The sequence below is a fragment of the Homo sapiens genome, chromosome 20 (genome assembly GCF_000001405.40).
Source record: "Homo sapiens chromosome 20, GRCh38.p14 Primary Assembly".
NCBI classification, from domain to species: Eukaryota; Metazoa; Chordata; class Mammalia; order Primates; family Hominidae; genus Homo; species Homo sapiens.
The window spans coordinates 24,473,823-24,494,017 of NC_000020.11; the positions used below are offsets into that span (position 1 = coordinate 24,473,823).

The window sequence follows — 20,195 nt, forward strand, 5'->3', positions numbered from 1 at the left end:
TTTAACAAGCTGTGACAACATTAACGCTTGGTTTTCAAAATCCTGGAAAGAATATGGTTGAAAAGAAATGGTCTCAGAAAAGTGACGTGGTTTGTCTAAGATCATTCAACTAGCAAGCAGCAGAACCCAGAGTCTGGAGCCTACAACCTGCCATCAGCAAGAGTGAGGACTGGGACAGTGTGTTTGCACTCACTTGGGGTGGATGGATACATGCACAGGAATGTACCCAGGGTGTGTACATAGCCATGTGGGCTAAAGATTTACAGGAATGGATAGGAAAGGCATGTGAGCAATAGCTTATGAAATTTATCCTTAGCATAACTAAATTAGATTCATATTATGTTATAAAACTTACATGATGCATTCTCTAAGATGGAAACATTTTTAAAACAGATTACCAACAGACCACCACCCTCCATTTATAATATGTGATGATTCAAGATGCAAGCATGGTTGGATGACAAACTGTAAATCATCTTAAACTATTGTTTGATAAATGACCTGTTAAACTACCAAAAACAAAGGAAAATAGAAACTCTAAAGAACAACAACAGATAAGCTTCAGGATCAAAAATAACTGCTAGAACCAAAAATAACAGAACCAGGAAACATTAAACACAGGTAGAAAATAATAAAAATAAAAGCTGTTTCCAAAGGCACAACCCAGGGGATAACCTTGCCTGTTTAGTCGCATAAAAAGAATTTAGGAGTTCAGTTAGCATTATTTCAGAGAGATGGGCCTTGCAATCCGTGTTCAGTGTGAAAAACTTTTTGCTTGGTTTTTAGTTGTTAACTGAATTTTTGTCAATAACATTCATTTTTAAATACTGGGGTGGCATTTAGAGAATGAGTCTGAAGGAGAGAGTACTTGCGTGGATTTCAAACTGCGTCTTTCAAGAACGGCTCACTTAGGTTAAATTTCTATTTTGAACAATTCTTAGGTCTCCAACAAGTTCAGTTGTAATCTATCACTTGGCCTCACTGGGCAGGCGCCCGCTTTCACACGTTACCTCCATCTGTTTCTTCCTTACCTTTCCTCTATTTCAGAAAACTTCAGTGCCCAAAACAAAACCAGAAAGCAAACACATTTCAGATAATTAGAACCACAAAAGTTTTATTCCATTGCCTCAACTTTAAACTACAGATCTTTCTGAAAGGGAGATACAGTAATCTTACCTCAAATACACTTGGAACCACCCCCCATGCCCCCACTTAGAAAAGCAAATAAATGAAATGTTACAGAAACTCACTCTTCTGTCATGAGTACAATAGGCAGTTTTTAACTTCCTCCTATGATCTTGGTCCTCACATGTTGGTGGTACAGACCCTCAGCTAGCATGGGTCTGAGATGCAGGAGTTTATTCCTGAAGATGCTAATGGGATTAAGTCCTGGGACAGTTTCCCAGTGGAAACCCAGTAGCCATGCTGGGGAGTGGCCTGAGGCATTAGCTTTAGGGTAGCCCCCAGGGAAGCCCAACTCATCCTACAAAAGATTGGTACCAATTCCATTGTTAATTATTTGCAGTTTCTAAAAGTGCATTTAAGAAAGCCTATGTGTTTCTGTAGCCAACCTTCATGTCTGACATCTCAGCCTCAGCCCATCACCCATGTGTCTCCCTTATAAGAAACCTTGTCCTTATGGGTCGAGTGCCCCATGGGATAATGGCACAGGACCAGTAGGGCAGTTGAAAGAGTTGAAATGTGATAGGTAGTGTGCGTGGTTTCTGACATGCTGTCTAAGCACAGGGGCTGGCCTGGGCTTGTAGTCATAGATGATTGACTGTCATGGATTGACTGTAAGAGGCACTCGTTTGCCTCAGATCTCCCATGGAAACCCTGTATTTGTGAGGACCTTGGAGAGGACCCTGCACAGGGCAGTCCCACCAATCCTAACCTAGTCTTGGAATGCTTTCAGACATCTCTTGCCTGTGTACGATTCTGGCTTTACTTTTCTCTCCCAATTCCTCACCGTTTCCATAGTGCCTTTGTGACAAGTGGCTCCACAACAGAGAACTGTGAGCTAATTAATGTGCATAGTATCTTTTTTTTTTTTTTTGAAATGACGTCTCACTCTATCACCCAGGCTGGAGTGCAGTGGCACAATCTCAGCTTACTGCAACCTCCGCCTCCCGGGTTCAAGCGATTCTTCCACCTCAACCTCCCAAGTAGCTGGGACTACAGGCGCACTCCACCATGCCCGGCTAATTTTTCTATTTTTAGTAGAGTCGTGGTTTCACCCTGTTGGCCAGGCTGGTCTTGAACTCCTGACCTTAAGTGATCTGCCCGTCTTAGCCTCCCAAAGAGCTGGAATTACATGCATGAGCCACTGTGCCCAGCCTAATGTGCATAGTATCTTAACAGTTTTTTTTCTTATATACTAAACCCAGAGATACAGCTCATTCATTTCAGTACTCTAATAATAGTTTAATACACTAAATTTCCTCACAAAGACAGGTTTTTGTTGAAAGCTAACTTTGAGTCAAGGGGAATAATCTGTTTTGTTATTTCTAAGTTTATTCTCTGCCCTTCATTATTATCCTGATCTTTAAAAGCTGTGGATATTGGCCGGGCGCGGTGGCTTACGCCTGTAATCCCAGCACTTTGGGAGGCTAAGGCGGGCAGATCCCTTGAGGTCAGGAGTTCAGGACCATCCTGGTTAACACGGTGAAACCCCATCTCTACCAAAAATAACAAAAAATTAGCCGGACGTGGTGGCGGGCACCTGTAGTCCCACCTACTCAGGAGGCTGAGGCAGGAGAATGGCGTGAACCTGGGAAGTGGAGCTTGCAGTGAGCCGAGATCCCGCCACTACACTCCAGCCTGGGTGACAGAGCAAGACTCCAACTAAAAAAAAAACAAACAAACAAACAAAAAAAACAAAAAAAAACTGTGGATATTAAGTATCACACACTTTGTTCACAATGGGATCATCAAGGCTCTGCTGGAAGCCTCTCCTAACTGCTCTGGACTTGGTAAGGACCCTGCAGCCTGCAGCACAGCTGTCCCACTAAAGTAGCCTGGAGCAAGGAGAGTCATTTGTCCAGCTGCATCTCTGTCCTTCTGCCATCTGCCATGGCCCTGCTCCTGTGGGTCCTCTTGTGTAACATTCATTGGTACACTTGCTAATCTGAATGTTCTGGGTGTAGGTGTATTAGCTGTAAATCGGAGCCCTAGATATATTTGAGGACATCACAGTCTATTTTAGAACCATAGACATGAAATGTATCTGTTGACTCAATATGTGCAGAATTCTGTAGCTTCCTTCCTTGCCTATTGCTAGACCTCGAGTTTCTGATTTGCCACATACCTTTCCAGGAAAAACATGCGTCACACTCTTGGGACACAAAAATGAGTTTGCATCCCTAATCTCAGCAACGGTTCTCTCTGTTGCTCTTCACATGCCTACAGGGCAAAGTGGCACAGGGCTGCTTAGTGAGTGCTGGGGTGACCAGGTGGCCCTACCGTCTCACCATTGATGTTGGGCCATAGCCCGTCCTCAAACACACTGTTTTGTTTTTTTTTTCTTTTTTTACCAGAGCAGGGCCACATGGACACCTCCCTCCTCCCTAAGCTTTCCTGCATCCCATTGATTGTCTTCAGTCACCTATCTGTCCCACCCAGAGTCTGGCACTGCAGTTACCAGCTAGTCTGTTCTGCTACTTCAGCCTTGCCCCCGGTGCACCTGGGACTGTAGCACCCAGACTCATAGACAGTGGGAACAAAGGGCTTCCTGATGGTCTCTGGATCAGAGAGCCAAGCTGTAACCCATCTGTGATTGCCCTGCCTCTCCATCATCTTGTCCTCCAGTGATTGCAATGCCCTGGATACCTGCAGAGGTTACTGAGGGGATGGGGTATACAGCACCCCACTGCCCCTGGCTCCAGTGTGTCCTGTACATTATGCAGAAGGCCAGGCCAGTGCATGGAAGTGGAGTAGGGAGAGCCATGGCTCTGGGAGATATTTGCCCTTCAGGGGAGACTGAGGCTGGGGTGCGATGGAGGGGCTGATGGAAAGCCCAGCATTGGCCAAAGAATAGACCTCAGTCACTAGCACTTCTACACGGTTATAGATACTCCAAACTCCAGGTGTTTCTGTGCTGTCTGGACCTAAGACACAGACGTGGGCTTCCAGCATTACCGACCTCAGGATTTGGCTCTGGGCTGGACAAGAACTCCACCCTGCCAGTGGCTGAGCATCCTCTCTTGGTAGAACCAGGTAAGCCTGGTGCCTCACCACAGGGCCGCCTGGCTGCCCTAAAAGGGTGGCTCTGCTCTTCAGGTCTGGATGAAATAGAGGTGAGCTAAACAATTGTGAGGAAATAAAGGGAGCTCAAACCCGAAGGGTCAGATTAAAGCTGGCAGGGCCTGTTTGGATGTTGTCATGAAGGAGATTCAGGAAGACCACCAGCTTCAACCATTGGTGCCTTATTGCTTCGGTGTCTGTCTCAGGGACCAGAGTGGCAGCGCCAGGCAGGGCAAGGGAGGAGCCCTAGGAGGGAGGGGTGGAGACTGAGCTTTGGCTGTTATTCTGTGTGACTCCCTCGGCGAGCTCCCCAGATGCCTGTTTGACACTTGGTGGAATGAAGAGACCCAGAGGGCTTCCCCAACGTGCCGTCCAGCCTCACTGTCTGCCAGAGGCAGAGCCAGGGCACAGGGACCCAAATTTTCAGGGCTTGCTTGCTTTTGTATTTGTCTCTAAAGTGCATTTTTTCTCACCCACTGTACTTAGTTTTCTTGGCATTGCTGGAACCTAGAATACTGTTTGGGACAATGACAGACCCCATGCACCGTAGACAAACAGATGCAGACAGCTCCAGCTTCCAGCAAGCCCCAGGTAGAACACAATGTGATGAGGACATTTCTCCATCTGTGCTTTTCAGTGGTTTCCTGGGAGGAGAGCGCCACAGCCAGTCAGGGGCACCATGGGCAAGGGGAGGCCCAGTTCCTAGGCCAGGCCAGGAGTCATGCACTTAGAAAAGTCAGGGAGAACAGAAGCCTCCCACAGAACTCACAGGCAGGCAGAGGGGAAGCTGCATTCCTGTAATGCCAGAGGCCAAGACATTTAGAGAGAATATCGGATTGAACTCCGCAGGACAGCAGGTCGACTGTCAGACCTCGTGGGCACTGTGTTCTTGTCTCGCTCTCAGCATAAGGCTTTTCCCGGAAGATGGAAATGTTCTTTCTCCTTAGACACTGCCCAGAAATGCTGATCTTCCTCGAATTTCTATTCAGAGCTTTAAATATTACAGAAATATATATTTGGTGAGTTGGGCTCTGCCAACTGTTTCAGTCTCTCCATAAGACTAAGTTGGTGCCTAATTAGAGTAAAAACAAGGATGCAAATTGCTTCTTGGGGACCCAAATCAGAGGGTCTCTGTCTCCACCAGAGCCTGGCCCAGCCCTGGAGAGTGACTTGGGAGCCCCGTCCTGATGGGTTCTTCCCGCTCCTCTGAGACCTTCTCCCCGAGCCCTCACCCTCCTTGGATTCCGCCTGCCAGGCCTTCTTTGTCAGAATGGAGTGGCCCCAGGGGCAGGACTCACCTCTACCAACTGAGCTTTCCTATGTGCACAACTGGCTGCCCTAGATATTTTCCTGTCCCTACCCCTTACCCAAGGCCATCTCTGGGATGTTCTCTGGGGCAGCAGCCTCAGTGAACCCATTCTCTATCTGCTCCCTCCAGCCCCTCAGGCTTCCCTTCCCATGCCCCTTCCTCTGATAATGATACTCAGTAACCCAGGAATCCACACCAGAAACTCCCTAGCCCCTGTGCTTCTTCCTCTTCCTCATCACTAGATCTAAGTATTTCCTGCCTCTCTCTTGCATCTTTTCCACCCTTGGCCCCATATGCACACTCATCTCTTGCCAGATCATCTCAGTACCGTCCTGCAAGCTCTCCCTGCCTGCTGCATTGTGCCTCTTGCCTCCAGGACTGCCAGGAGAGTGAGCTGTCTCAAGTGCAGATCCGCCTCTGGGGCGCTCCTCTCGAAGCCCCCTACTGGCACTGGACAGGCTGCTTGGGAAAGATACAAGGCAAGGCTGTCCTGTCAGTCCCTGTTCACCCTCCAGCCTCATCACCATTTCTCTAGGTGCCCAGAACACTGAGTTACTCCTGCCCTGCCATGCACAGGTACATGTGCACACACAAATGCCTGCACACACACACACTCCATGGTCCCACACGTGCACGCGCGCACGCACACACATTACATAGTCCCACACCTCCCCCACCTGCAGTTGGCTACCTCTTGCCTCTTGCTAATCTCCTTTGAGGTTCAGAGGCTTAGCTTGATCATCACCTCTTCCCAGCATCCTTCCTCCAAGTTTGGCATCCCCGCTTCTAGGTGTCCTTGGCACCTGGGCCCATCCCAGCACTGGTGTGGCATTAGCAGAACAACCGAAGATGAAATATCTACAAGTAACTGTCAAGAAATGTGTAAGACCTATATAATGCTATTTCAATCAGAATGCCAATATTATATTGCCTTTTGAGCTTGACAGAATTATTCAGAAGTTCATGAAATTTAGGCTACAGTACTAAATTTTTTTCAGTGAAGAAATGTCCTACCAGATAATAAAACGAAGTGTTCAAATTACGTTAATTGACCTCAAATCCATTAGGATGGCTACTGTCAAAAAAATCACAGAAAATAACAAGTGTTGGTAAGGACGTTTGGAAATTGGAACCCATGTGCACTACTTGGGGAACTGTGAGAGGACGTAGTTGCTATGGAAAATAGTGTGGAGGTTCCTCAGAAACACTAAACATAGATTTGCCATATGATCCAGCAGTCCCACTTCTGGGTATATATCCAAAATAATGGAAAGCAGAGTCTTGAAGAGATATGCACATGCCCATTTTGATAGTAACATTATTCACAATAGCTAAAACGTGGAAGCAAGCCAAGAGTCTATCAGCAGATGAGCGGATAAGCAAAATGTGCTAAACACATACAGTGAAATATAGTTCAGCCTTGAAAAGAAAAGAAATTCTGTCATAGGCTACAACATGATGAACCCTGAGGACACTATGCTTAGTGAAATAAGCCAGAGACAAAAAGGCACATACGATATGGTTTCACTTATCTGACATACTGAGAGTTCTCAAACTCAGAGGCACAAAGTACAATGGTGGTTGTGAGGGTTTGGGGAAGAGGAGATGGGAGTTATTGTTTAAAGGGTATAGAGTTGCATACGTGCGAGATGAAAAAGTTCTGGAGAACCCTTGTGCAGCAATGTCAATATACTTAGCACACTAAGAAATGGTTACGATTATGTAAATTTTATGTTGTGTGTGTGTGTGTTTTTTGCCACAATAAAAAAAAACTACATTAATTGGAAATGTAAGATTCTAGTTACTGGTATGTAGTTAACAGGCTATTCTGATCTACTGTTGCATAACAGACTGCCCCCAAAACTCAGTGTTCATGGATCTGTGGGTCAGGAATTTGAAAGGGCACAGTGGGGACGGCTTATCTTTGCACCATGGCTCCTGGGGCCTCAGCTGGGAAGACTCACATGGCTGGGGCTGGAGTCCTTGCCCAGGTTGGGCTCACTCGAAGCCTGGACCAGGAGCACCTACACGTGACCTCTCCCTGGGTTTCCTCCCAGCATGGTGTCAAGGGGGCCAGACTTCATATGCCGAGGCTTCTGCTCCAAAAGTGAGTGTGAACATGGTCAAGACTGCACGATCTCCTGAACCGTCTCCACAGCCACTCTGGGTCAGCGCCACAAGATTCTGCTGATTATAGGCAAGTTTCTAAGCCAGCCCAGAATCAAGGAGGCAAATTAGACCCCACTTTTGAAGGGAGGTGTGTGAAAGAATTTATGAACCATGTATTCAATCTGCCATGCAGACAGGTAGGTCAGACAGAGAGCTCTGAAACAGATGCCAGCCCCAAGAGCCTAATGAATGTGTGGGAGCTGGCGGGGAGAGCTGAATTAGTCAACATGGAGCACTTTGGAAGTAGGTAGTTGGACTGTAAAGTCAATTTATATCTCCCTATTTCATAAAAAGTTCTGAATGTATATAAAAAGCATTGATAAATAAATATTCTAGAAGCATGAATAAATTCAGCCTGAACATCTTACCGTAATCCCAAGTGAAAAAAAATTGATAAAGATTAAATATATATATATGTACACATTCTATACAACAGGCACTGTAAACAAAATTGGAACGCATATAATAATCTGGAAACAAACATTTGCAACAAATTAACAAATGCTTAATAATCCTCACAGAGCAAATAAGAAAACACAAACAACCTAATTAAAAACTGAGCTCATGCCATGGAGAAAAAGGTGAGAAGAAGTGGAAATGACTAAGAAAGAAATACATGGAAAAACATATGTGCATTTTTACTTGTTTTTTGGTTTTTGTTGTTGTTGTTGTTTTTTCTGAGATGGAGTCTCACTCTGTCACCCAGGCTGGAGTGCAGTGGTGTGATCTCTGCTCACTGCAACCTCTGTCTCCCCTGACCTTGTGATGCACCTGCCTCAGCCTCCCAAAGTGCTGGGATTACAGGCGTGAGTCACCACGCCCGGCCGTGCATCTTTACTTGTAATGATGAAAATGCACATGAAAGTTAGGGAAGACACATCTTTCCAAAATGATTGCCCAGCTTCAGAGATTCCAGTTGCTCAGTAAAGGCACCTGAGGCAGCCTTTGGGATCACTGGGGAGGTTGAATCTCTTGTCTTGAAAGTTTCACTGAAATGTTCACTGAGGTCCTTCCCCTATATCTGTGGCCACACAACAGAACCACTAAAACATTTCTAAGATACACGCAGAGTATGTGTATCTTGCTTCCAGTAATGAACTGTCAGAAAAAAACTAAATGCCTGTCAAAAGGGGATGGTTAAATATGATGCAACTATTATGATGTTCTTAAAATAATGATTAAATTATTCTAAATCCCTTGTCCATTGGCCAGGGCTGTGCTGGGTATGTATTTACATGGATCAATGTCCATGGTAAACTACTAAGGATGGAAAGCTAAAGGAAAATATGTTGAACATTTGTGTGAATATGTTATTCTCTGAGAGTTTAAATATTTATTCAGATAATTCTTGAAAGCTGTTCTCCACATTGTTAATGGTATGTAGCCATGAAGAGTAGAATGGAAATAGGAACTTCCATGGTTTTAATTTTCTATGCATTGGTATGATTTGAATTCATAAATATGTGTTGTTTTTGCAATTTAAAAAACCTATTTAAACACATATCTATCCTTTGGAAGTAATCAGAGGTCTGGATGTAATGTTTCGGCTACACGTTCACATTCATACCTGATTTGGGGGAAGTGGAAAGCCTGGAGCCTCCTAGAAGTTGAGTGAAGGGTGTCTTTGTCAAGCATGCAGTGCACGTTGTGGTTGCAGTGTGACGCAGCAGGAGTCCAAGCCGTGGGCACTCACACGCATGCAGAGAAAGGTGTGCATGTGTGGAAGGGACTGCAGGAGATGCCAGTACTGCCACGAGTAGCTCCAGGCATGGGGTTACATGTGGATTTCATTTCCTATGTTATGTACTTTTCTGATTTTCAACTTGATCCTTGATTACTGTTTTGATTAGGAAAAAAAACCCAAAAGTTTAGAAATTGTTTTGCTCTCTCTCTCATTTGACTGAAAATCTGTTTCTTAATCATATTTTATGTTCCCACGTCCTATGCCCAGAGCTAGCACACATTATGTGCTCAGCCAGTGTTTGCTCTTCCTGTACTTCCCCTGGGCACCTCCCTGCCCCTTGAAAGAGCGTGCTCTGCATTCCCACCCAGGAGTCCCAGCCTGAGGAAGCCCCTCTCCTCTGAGCACGCGTGTGCACGCACCTGCCTGCGGCTGACCGTCTTGGCTCTAAGCCCCACAGCAGTGGATATGTTTTCAAGAGTAGTTCGTTCACCACATATTGAGTACTTGCCATTTGCTTGACCTTGTGGCAGACCCCAGAGACAGAGATGAAAGGCTTTGGTCCCTCATGGAAGAAGGGCATTCAGAGGCCCTGCCTAGTGTGCAGGGCCTCACTTTGCTTGACACGGTGCAAGTGCAAGTGGCGATACAGGCAGGCCAGCGGGGATGCTGCGTCCAGATGCAGCCAAGACTCGGAATGCGAAAGAGTGACTAGCCTGGAGGAGTAGAAATAAGGGGTCTTCTCGGCAGAGGGTGCAGGATAGGGCAGAGGTCACAGAGGCCTCCGCGCACCTAGGAGGTGGAAGTTGGATGTGACTTCAGAATTCCGTCTGCATCAGTGGTGTTTACTGAGATCCAGGTGCCCACACGAGAAACAACAGATGGGGTCAGACGAATTCAAGTGCAGTCCTGGCTACCTACTGCTGCCCAGATTGCCCCAAAATGTATAGCATGAAAGCTGCTGAGGGTTGGGAATTTTGGAGGGGTCGGCTGGGCGTGTTCAGCCCCATTCTCTCAGGCAGGTGCTGTCAGAGTGTATCTGGAGCCAGAAGAGTGGGGGGCCTGGGGCTACTGGGGGTCAGCCAGGTAACTGTAACCTCAGGGGTGCTGCACGTGGTCTCCCCACATGAACGATATTGGCCTTTCTCACAGCATGGCAGCCTTGAGGTATTAAACTTCGTAAAAGGAAGGTCAAGGCTCCGGTTTGAGTTTTCTAGTAAAAGACAGGTTGCGTGAACTTTTCTGACCTAGCCTCAGAGGTCAGGTCACGTCACTGTCGCCACACTCCTTCTGTTCAGGGTGAGTCTCAAGCCCACCTGGGTTCAAGGGGAGGGAGCAGAGACCCCACGTTTCACTGAGAGGAGTATCAGGGCCATATCCAGGAATAGATGTGGGATGGGAAGTAGTGTTGTGTCCACCTTTAGAAACGATGATCTGACACAGATACTAAAAAACAAAATACTCCAATTACTTGCCCTACACACAATAGGTCTTTAGGTCACAAAATAATGAAAAGTAGAGCCTTTTCTTACCAGAAATTTATCTAGATCTATTTGTTTAACATATGGATTTTCTAGAGTGCTATGGCTTGAGTATGAATTATTTGTTCCCACCAAAACTCATGTTGAAATTTGATCCCCAATGTGGCAGTGTTTGGAGGTGGGGCCTAGTGGGAGGGGTTTGGGTGATGGGGGCAGATCCCCATGAATGGCTTGGTGCTATTCTTGAAGTAGTGAGTTCTTTCTTCCTTGAGACTGGATTAGCGCTCCAGCCAGAGCAGGTTGTTATAAAGCAAGGTTCCTCCTTCTGTTTGGTCTCTTTCCCTGCGTTTACACTTCCCTTTTGACCGTCTCTGCCATGTTATGATGCAGCACAAAAGCCCTTACCAGAAGCCGGGGCCATGGCCTTGAACTTCCCAGCTACAGAACTGAGCTAAATAAACCTCTTTCCTTTATAAATTACCCAGTCTCAGGTATTCTGTTATAGCAACACAAAACAGACTAAGACACATAGTCTTAATTATTTTCCAATGTCTGTATATATTCTTAGTGTGTCATATTGTTCTTTAAAAGTATCTTCTAGAGTGTGGTGCTATACTTGAGTCCATGATGCAGAATCTGGGACATAGATTGATAGCACCAATTTTGTTCATTAGATGGATGCATTTGTCATTACGTAAGGAAATTATAGGTCTTTGGAATTTTCTTCAATTCCATCTCTCTCCAATGTTTTCACTGAAGAGATAGAAAGGAAAAGTGGGAAAAATTTGGAAGTTTCAGGTCCTTGTAGATCTAGTGACTTCTCCAGACTTATGCAGAAATCAGTGGCAAAGCTAATTTTGATATAATTTGGATACAGCTTTTTATTGCCTTACTTCTTTTTTTCTTTATTTCGTACAGTAATATCTCCTTTAAAGAAAGAGCCCTTTTAGCAAGTGTGTGTATACAACGTAGAAATGGTACTGCAACAAATGACAGAAGACTGAATGTGGCTGAGTGTTACTCAGGAGCTAAACAATGGAGTTTTCCATACCTGGAGGAATCTGGAAGCAGGAGCTACTGACTCAGCAGCTCAGTGCGGTTGGAGCTGGATCTCTATAGTCCTTGTGGCCTTTCCCTCCTGGCTCCCAGATGGCTGCTACTGCCCCCGATATCACATCTGAGGTCAAGGCAAGAAGTGAGAAAGGTGGACAGAGACCCCCCCAGGAGATGTCTTTGGCCCAAGCTTTGTCTCGTGGCCACCCTTGGTAATAAGAAAGTATGGGGTACAATTGAGGATTTAATGAGAACTTAACTCTTCCACCCTCCAGGTGAAGGTGGGCAGGGTGAAGCACTGACATCCAGCAGTGGGTCCCCTATTCAGCCAGGGAGGGTCACCCCAGCTCTCAGTGACAGGCGTGCCAAGGCCACATCACAGGGTAGGTGTGGGAAGGGAAGACTGGGTGTATTTATGAAATCAAAAGAAAAGTCAGTGGTTTGCTGGTGGGTGTGAGGTTGGGTGTGGTGTGGGCAGGATGGCACAAGAGAGGGCAGGGTGGGTGCTGGAGAGGTGGCAACCCCCTTGCCTGGGCTGGGGAGCCAGGTGGAGGCCCTGGGCTGATGCCATTGCTGCTTATCCATAGACTTTGAATAGCACAGGTCCAGAGTGGTTCTCAAGTTTTGCTGCATGTTAGATTCACCTGGGGATATTTAACAATTGGTTTATACACAAATAATGTGAAGACCAAAAATTGAGTTTAGTCTATAATATTAAAGCAGCAGCTGAATCAGTTTTGCTTACTGAAATGTCTGTTCAAGCACCATTCCTCAAACTCTAATGCACTCACATAACACCTGGGGATTTGCAGGCATGCGAGCTCTGGTCCAGTGGGTCGCTGGAACCTGAGAGTCTCCATTTCTTTTTTTTCTTTCTTTCATTTATTTATTTATTTATTTAATTTTTTTTTTGTTTTTTTGTGATGGAGTCTCGCTCTGTCACCAGGCTGGAGTGCCGTGGTGCCATCTCGGTTCCCCGAAACCTCCACCTCCCGGGTTCAAGCGATTCTCCTGCCTCACCCTCCTGAGTATCTGGGACTACAGGTGTGCGCCAACATGCCCAGCTCATTTTTGTATTTTTAGTAGAGACCGGGTTTCACCATGTTGTCCAGGATGGTCTCGATCTCCTGACCTCGTGATCCACCTGCCTCGGCCTCCCAAAGTTCTGGGATTACAGGTGTGAGCCGCCGTGCGCAGCCGAGAGTGTGCATTTCTAACAAGTGCCAGTGATGACAGTGCTGCTAGCCCGCAGGACACACTTTGAGCAGCCGGGGAATCACGGGCCAAGGTTGGGGGGAGAGGGTCGGTGGATGTGGGGTGGGGGGTATTTGGGAGTAGTTGTCCCTGGCTGGGCCACAGGAGGGAAGAAATGGCTTCAGCTGGAGAGGCCAGCAGCACAGAGCTTGCAGACTTTCACTTATGGTTTAATTTGCCTTAAGTAAACTTATACAACCTGGATTTTGGGTCAAGAAATATAATATGCTTAAAATTTGTCTTATGTAACAATATAATAAAAAACAAATTTTTACCATCCTTTTATTTAAACATTTGGAGGTAGAAAATCAGTGCTGTAGTTGGCAACTGCTATGCTTCTGGGTTTACTGAGGTGATGAGTGTTACAAAAGACACAGCAAGAGCCCAGGTTCACAAGGGATGGTGGTCCAGATGCCAGCTCTGTCCCTTACAGCCCCGTGGCCATGCTGAGTTATCTGCTCTGGTTCCTCCATCTCTAAGTGAGAGATGAGTGCTGTTATCTCAGGAATGTGAGGTAATGCCTGCAAAGGGTCCAGCGCACTTTTTTCATGCAGTGGGACTAAAGAAATGAATCCGTGTCCACATGGAAATGCACCCCCACGTGCACACAGATGTGTATGTGTACATGTATATGTGTGTGTATAAGTATGCATCTATGCATGCTAATATTCCTTCCTTCTGGAATATTTGGCCCCATGTGATGTGTTTGTAACAGGGGCTGCAACACTTCCTCTCATCCTGTTTCACACAGCCCAGCCCTTGGCACTGTGACATTGCCACAGCTCCCGTCAAGAAGAGGAGGTCCTGGGATCTGGATTTGGACTGACCCCATAACTGGCTTGGAGCACTACAAGGAAGCGAAAGTGGCGATGGACCCATTCTGAGGTGGTACAGCCAGCAGCTGTCCAAACATGTCGGTGAGGCTGTAGTGTGCCGATCTACTCCAGCTGACTGCGGCTTCATCAGTGACCCCAGGAGAGACCAGCCAAGAATCAAGCATCCCAGCGCAGCTTCACCTGTCAACCCAGAAAATGAGATGACTCCATTTTAACCCACCAACTCTTAGGGTGATTGGTTACACAACAAGTAATAACACATGGCTAGAAAAAAATGGACTAGAAATATCTCTGCATAATACTCTATATTTACACTCAACAATATAGCCCTTGAGTAAACGTTGGAAGGGAATTCAGCTGGTCATTTATTGCTCCTGCAGAGAGGAAGTGTGGGAAATAATTCAGCCGGGATCCTGGCCCTGGTAAAAGGCAAGGCACCATGCGAGGCACTGCATTCACAGTGAACCAGACGTGAGAGCCAAACAGACGTTTCCCATTTGTGCACACATACAAAGTGCTTCGCCCAGTGCCTTGTGGGGTGCCCCCACTTCTCTTCAGTGCTCCACGTCTGTTTGTAACTCACTGTAGCTCTCACTACCTGGTGGTGTGCCGACAACAATGGTAGACCAGCTGGACAAGCCCCAGAGTGGGGAGCAGAGGGAACACTTCATCTGCTTCAAGCCCTTCTGCAGGCTCCAGGCACAAACTGATGAAGGACAGAATTCTTTTGTCCTGCTGGAGCCAGAGGGTGTGGACACCAGAGGAGCCGTCCCTGGGCATCACATTGGCTCTTGCCCAAGAAAGGTGAGTCCTCGTTTGTTCAGCCTTTGCCAAGAACTCTATACCCCAGGCAGGCCCACGGTGTCTCATTGATGAGCTCAGTGGGACCAAGGTGTGAGTGTTTCACAGGACAGAAGTTAAATATGGAATACATTTCCTGCCTGGACTCTCAGCTGAAACACCTCTCCAGTATCTGCTGATGTCTTTAATGCCAGGCCTGGTGCCAGAGCATCCCCGGGCGCTCGGAGGAAAGGGACACGCCTCGCTCCACAGCTCTGGAATGGGGCATTGGTCCTGGGGTCAGGATTTTCCTCCTGTTCTATGTGAAAAGCCTCTTCCCCTGTTAGTCATCATTTCCCCACTGTGGCTGAGCCCTGTCCCTTGGTCTTGGCAAGTCTAAGCTCCTGTGGAGGCTGAGATTCCTGCAGGTGTCCTGACCCAGAAATGAACATCCAGCTTCTTTTAGAAGGCAGTGTTCTAGAAATGTGGAGGCCACCTTCCCATCTGTACGCATGCACACACCCACACTCATGGGGGCACACACACATACACATGCACACATACACTCACATGGACACAGATAGATGCATGCACACCGACATGTAGATACATGCACACACACAGACACACATGCATGCACACACGTGCTCACAGGGACAGGCACAGTCACATGCAGGCACACGCAGACACATGGACACACATATAGATTCATGCACACACACACAAGATACATGCATGCACACACAGACATGTGGACACAGATACAGACACATGTGCACACAGACACATGGACACAGACACATAGATACATGCACACACAGACACATGCACACAGACACATACGTGCATGGACACACAGACACATGGACACATAGACACAGATACATGCACACACACGTACACATGCATGCACACACATGCTCACAGGGACAGGCACAGACACAGGCACACACCACAGTCACATGACCACACACAGACACATACATGAATGCACACACACATGCTTAAACAGACATACATTCACCACACACACTTATATGGACACAGAAATGCACACACAGGCACACTTATAACCTGAACAGTAACCTCCCACCTCTGTGAATGTCACTGCGGCATGGAGGGAGGAGGGAGTTGCCACTGGGGAGCCAGGGGCCTCCAGCCAAAGGACAGTGTGCGGTTCAGGGACAGACTCGAGCAGCAAGTCAAGAACCAGAAGTTCTGATCACAGCCACTGGAGTGCGTTAAGAAGCCCTGTGGGCTGTTTTGTGTCATCACCAAGCAGGCCTGGCCGCTGGTGCTGCAGTGCATAGGAGCCCCAGATTCATCTGGTGAGGGTGAGGGTGCCATCTGTGTGTGGCCCCCGAGCTGAATCCACCACATCTGCTCCCACAAATAACAGAAGAGAGAGGCAGGGGAGTATGCAGCCAGGGACAGGGGCCAGAGAGGCACCCTCCAGGATACCTTTGGGGCCCTGCACCCTTTCCTGTTCCATCCACATGCTGTGGGCAGTGACAGGGGCAGGGCAGAAGGCCCAGCGGAGTGCCTCTGCGGGTCTGGTTTGTCATGGAGGGATCAGTGTGTTTCCATGCCTGAATGAGGAACACGCAGATCACAGTTCCCAGAGTACTTTATGTAAAGCTCGTCTTTGCGGCTTCTTGATTTTTATTTATAGAGAGCTATTTCACCTAAAATAGCAGTTATGCCTTGCCTATGAGCCCATGAGGATGGGATTTGCTCTTGGCAGTTTGGAAATGAGGAGAGGCCTAGAGGAGGGGAAACCAAGTCACAGTCCTCATGGGAAAGGTGGTTTGGGGCTGGAGTGGGCAGTGGAAGGGGCTAGGCATAAAGAAGGTTGTATCTGGGGCTCTGCTGCCAATGTGCCCGGGCTTGGACCCTGGCTCGCCCCTAGCCCTTGGGAGATCATTCAACCTCTCTGTGCCTCGGTTTCCTTATGAATGAAGCGAGCACGCCAGTTACCCCTCCATGGTGTCGTCGGGGCAATTACCTGGATGAGAGATGTGCAGTGCTCAGCAGGATTGTCACGAAGCAGGGGCCGGCATGACAGCTGTGGCTAGGACTCCTTATGTGGGGCCTCAGCCAAGGCTAGCACCAGGGAATGGGCTGATCGGGGCCCTTCATATGGCAGGTGAAGCTCTGCTAGGAACCTGGAAGCGCCAGGCTCCAGGGCAGCACAGAGGAGGGCAGGCAGATGTCAATCAGCAAGCCAAGCCCCACAGTCTGGAAATTTGCACCAGTGTGAGTGGAGGTGGAGCCAGGGAGGAAGTAAATCCCAGAGGAGAAGGCCTGGGCCAACATTTTAGAGCCCAGCGGCAGTACTGAGCCCACTTAGGGAGGTGCCATGGAGTCGTGGCCCCTGGAGCTCCTCGTGCGTCTGGTTGCTGTGGCAGGTAAGGGTCGGCCTTTGAGGTCCAGGGTCAGGAAAGGACAGGCGCCATGGCGTGCAATAACCCTTATGGGATTGATAGTAAAACATACAGAAAATATGTTTCAATAGCAAGCACCACTGCCTCAGTCCTTAAGATGCTAACCAGTTGGCTCCAATGAGTGTGAGGTCAGCCGCGATCCATTTTGGGAATTCTTTGAAGGCACAAGTGGTGACTCGTGGAATACTTAATAAAACAAAGTAAGGGTTGCCCCTGGAGAACAGAGGTCTGTACAGGCTGGGAGAGCAGCCAGGAGAGGACAGGATGCTCAAGTCTTTTTGCAGGGCCAGTCATGTCCGAACAACGCCAATTCACTTGCCGTAGGTTGACAGGTGCAGAAGATGAAAGAGTGGCGAGCCTCAGATGCTATTGCCTTGATGTTATTAGCTCCTGATTCTGACAGCGCAGGGCCTGGCCCAGGGCACAGCTGCGCACAGGGTGAGCAGCATGCCCTGCTGCAGGAGGGATTTGCCTTGTCACCATCCCCATAGCAGACCCAGGACAAGGTCCGTCACGTTCCTGATGCCAGGGGATGTGACATGTACCTCCCTCAGTGGCTTCCAGGTGCAGACCCAACACTGACACTGACCTTACAGTCAAATGGCAAAGTAGAAAATCCAACTGTAACACCAGCAAAGGACACTAGCTTGACAGCACTTTGGAGTATCTGGAGGAAATTAAAAGTATGGTTATGCTTGAAGACATTTCACTAAGTCATAAGTCTCTGGGCTCCTGGGCACATCAAGATTTGTGTCATGCACTTTCTGGGAAGAAAACAAAATGGAAAATGAGGACCTTCCATCAGGAAGCTGATCGTTTCCTTCAATGCAAGTACTCTTTGGAAACAAAAGCAAAACAAAACAAAAACCATAAAAAATACAAGAACAAGAAATGCTGAAGACAGGTGGAAAGAATGAAAATAGGACTGAAGCAGGCCTGTGCCCTAGGCAGAGCCAGGCACACGCCTGCTGAGAGGACCCCACTAACAGGTGACCCAGGCAAGAGGCCCCCGGCCGGCTCCGTGTGAACAGATCCTCCCATCTTGTCGCGTCCGTGTCCACAGTGAAACTCCAGGCACCGCAGGGACGCTGGGGAGAGCCTTCTCTCCACACCCCCTTGGAATGTGCCCCCCACTTTTCGCTGTTCTGGTGGGCTTTTGGTTTCTTGTCAGGGTTGGGGCTCTGCCAAGTAGCCACAGTGAACACAGAAAGCAGCCCTTGAGCCTGGCCTTCAGCGAGAGTTGCTAAGGGGTGGCTAGGAGATGAGGAGGGTAGGCTCGGCCCCGCCGCCTCTGCTGTCTGGTTCGAGATCAGCTGCTGGCCACCACAGGGGACATGTGCATTGTCATCTATCTTGGGAAAGACTTTGGTAAACATCCAAGTTTCAAAGGAAAAACAAAACCTCACGGTGGCTCCCCTGCAGGATAAAGGACAGCACTGCCTTCTCTTTTCTTCAGAGGCTGGCTTGAGCCAGGTTTGCATAATCCCCCACCTAGCCCTGAGGTGGGGAGAGAGTGTAAGAAGAGCAGCTTCAGGTGGGGTCCTTAGATCCTTAGTGCAGTCCCCACAACCGCCCCCTCCACCCCTCCTTCCCCCGCTACATTGCTGGAGTGTGAGGGGCCTATAAGGCCAAAGGGCTGCCCAGGGGAGGGGCCCAGCACCCAGCTTACCACCTGCACGCCCATCCCCCTTTCTCCATCTTCCTTCCCCTTTGCCTTGCCTCTCCCTGCATCCAGCCAAAGTCCAACTCTGCCCTTCAACCTGAAAGCCAAATCCTCTAAGCAAAAGAACTGACACATTTTGGAAAGTGGCAGGAATTCAAGGTGCTGATGCACGTGATGCTGGGCATGGCTTTGTGTGAGATTGAAGCATTGGTGGTGATGATCCTGTTGTGCTAATTTCACTAATGACTGGAGAAGAGAAAATCTACAAGGCTTCAGGCAGGTAAGGGATATTGAAATTCAAGGCCATCAAAATATTGAGATGCCCTCAGAAAATTTAGGGAAACCTTTGAATATTTCTGCATAAGTCATTCTCTTTCCTGTTTCTGTCAAAGTCAATTTCGTTGGAAAAATTACACAAGCAAACCTAAATGACACTTGATCATTTTTCACTCCAATTAGCACATACTTATAATCCAAGTAATGTGAAAAGCTAAATGAACTCACTTTCCTAGTTGTGGGTTTCCTTTATTGGCATGAAGCTGAACTGGCCCTCATGTGCACACATCCACATGCATGGGCACACAAGCATGCACGTGCACACACATCCATGCACAGGCATGGAAACACGCATGCACACACACATGTGGACACACACAGACATGCACGGGCACACACATGCTTGGCACACACAGGTACGCACACATACATGGGCATACACAGGTACACACACATACATGGGCACACACACATCCACATGCACACATGCAGGTACACACACTGTGGTGAAGTTTGCTTACTGGTTTAAGTAGATTTGTTTTAACTACATCTTCCCCAATATTAAATATCCTTGAAGGTTTTGAGTTGCAGGCTCCATGAGAGGGTTTTTGTCTGGTTTTGTCACTGCTCTGTCAACTGGGCCTGAAATCTAGCACCTAGAAGATGCTCAAATGCTCAGTGGAGTTGGTGAGCAGTGGAGGGTGGTGGAGGAGGAGCAGAGCTCTGTTTTGACACTGTAGTGTGAGGAGCTTTACCCCCACCCTCAGGGGACCATTGGGCAGCCGCAAGCTCAGAGGGGAGGCATGGCCGGGTGCTGGAGTCACCACCAGCATTGGAAGAGCACTGAGCCCCCCGGCTGGCCAAGCTCAGTAGGTAGTGAGAGAAGGAAGAAAAGATAAAGGAAGGGTCTTGGAGTCATCCCAACGTGTGGAGGCCCAGAGGAGGAGACCCAGCCCTGGAAGCTGGGGACAGAGCCGCGGATACTGGCCTTTTGAGATCCCTGGCTC

The 20,195-nt window shown here is 48.0% G+C and overlaps 1 protein-coding gene across 23 annotated transcripts in view, besides 4 other annotated features; it reads left to right on the forward strand.

The window, feature by feature from the left end:
• SYNDIG1 (synapse differentiation inducing 1) overlaps nucleotides 1-20,195 on the forward strand; it is a 196,988-nt gene that overhangs the window by 4,194 nt on the left and 172,599 nt on the right. For 5 of the 23 annotated variants that reach the window (NM_001323606.2, XM_011529350.2, XM_047440496.1 and 2 more), the window contains exon 2: nucleotides 13,941-14,829. The exons of 16 other annotated variants lie outside the window; for them this stretch is intronic. The gene's annotated coding sequence lies outside the window, so the exon portion shown is untranslated. 2 more of the 23 variants (XM_017028064.2, XM_017028068.2) reach the window with 2 other exon arrangements.
• Nucleotides 5,637-6,138: an enhancer, noted in NCBI's record as "H3K4me1 hESC enhancer chr20:24460095-24460596 (GRCh37/hg19 assembly coordinates)". NCBI's record gives its function as "activates a minimal SCP1, AML or CMV promoter by ChIP-STARR-seq in naive H9 embryonic stem cells {active_cell/tissue: H9 hESC(naive)}" and the evidence as "EXISTENCE:reporter gene assay evidence [ECO:0000049][PMID:30033119]".
• Nucleotides 16,221-16,882: an enhancer, noted in NCBI's record as "H3K27ac-H3K4me1 hESC enhancer chr20:24470679-24471340 (GRCh37/hg19 assembly coordinates)". NCBI's record gives its function as "activates a minimal SCP1, AML or CMV promoter by ChIP-STARR-seq in primed H9 embryonic stem cells {active_cell/tissue: H9 hESC(primed)}" and the evidence as "EXISTENCE:reporter gene assay evidence [ECO:0000049][PMID:30033119]".
• Nucleotides 16,883-17,542: an enhancer, noted in NCBI's record as "H3K27ac-H3K4me1 hESC enhancer chr20:24471341-24472000 (GRCh37/hg19 assembly coordinates)". NCBI's record gives its function as "activates a minimal SCP1, AML or CMV promoter by ChIP-STARR-seq in naive and primed H9 embryonic stem cells {active_cell/tissue: H9 hESC(naive and primed)}" and the evidence as "EXISTENCE:reporter gene assay evidence [ECO:0000049][PMID:30033119]".
• Nucleotides 17,543-18,202: an enhancer, noted in NCBI's record as "H3K27ac-H3K4me1 hESC enhancer chr20:24472001-24472660 (GRCh37/hg19 assembly coordinates)". NCBI's record gives its function as "activates a minimal SCP1, AML or CMV promoter by ChIP-STARR-seq in naive H9 embryonic stem cells {active_cell/tissue: H9 hESC(naive)}" and the evidence as "EXISTENCE:reporter gene assay evidence [ECO:0000049][PMID:30033119]".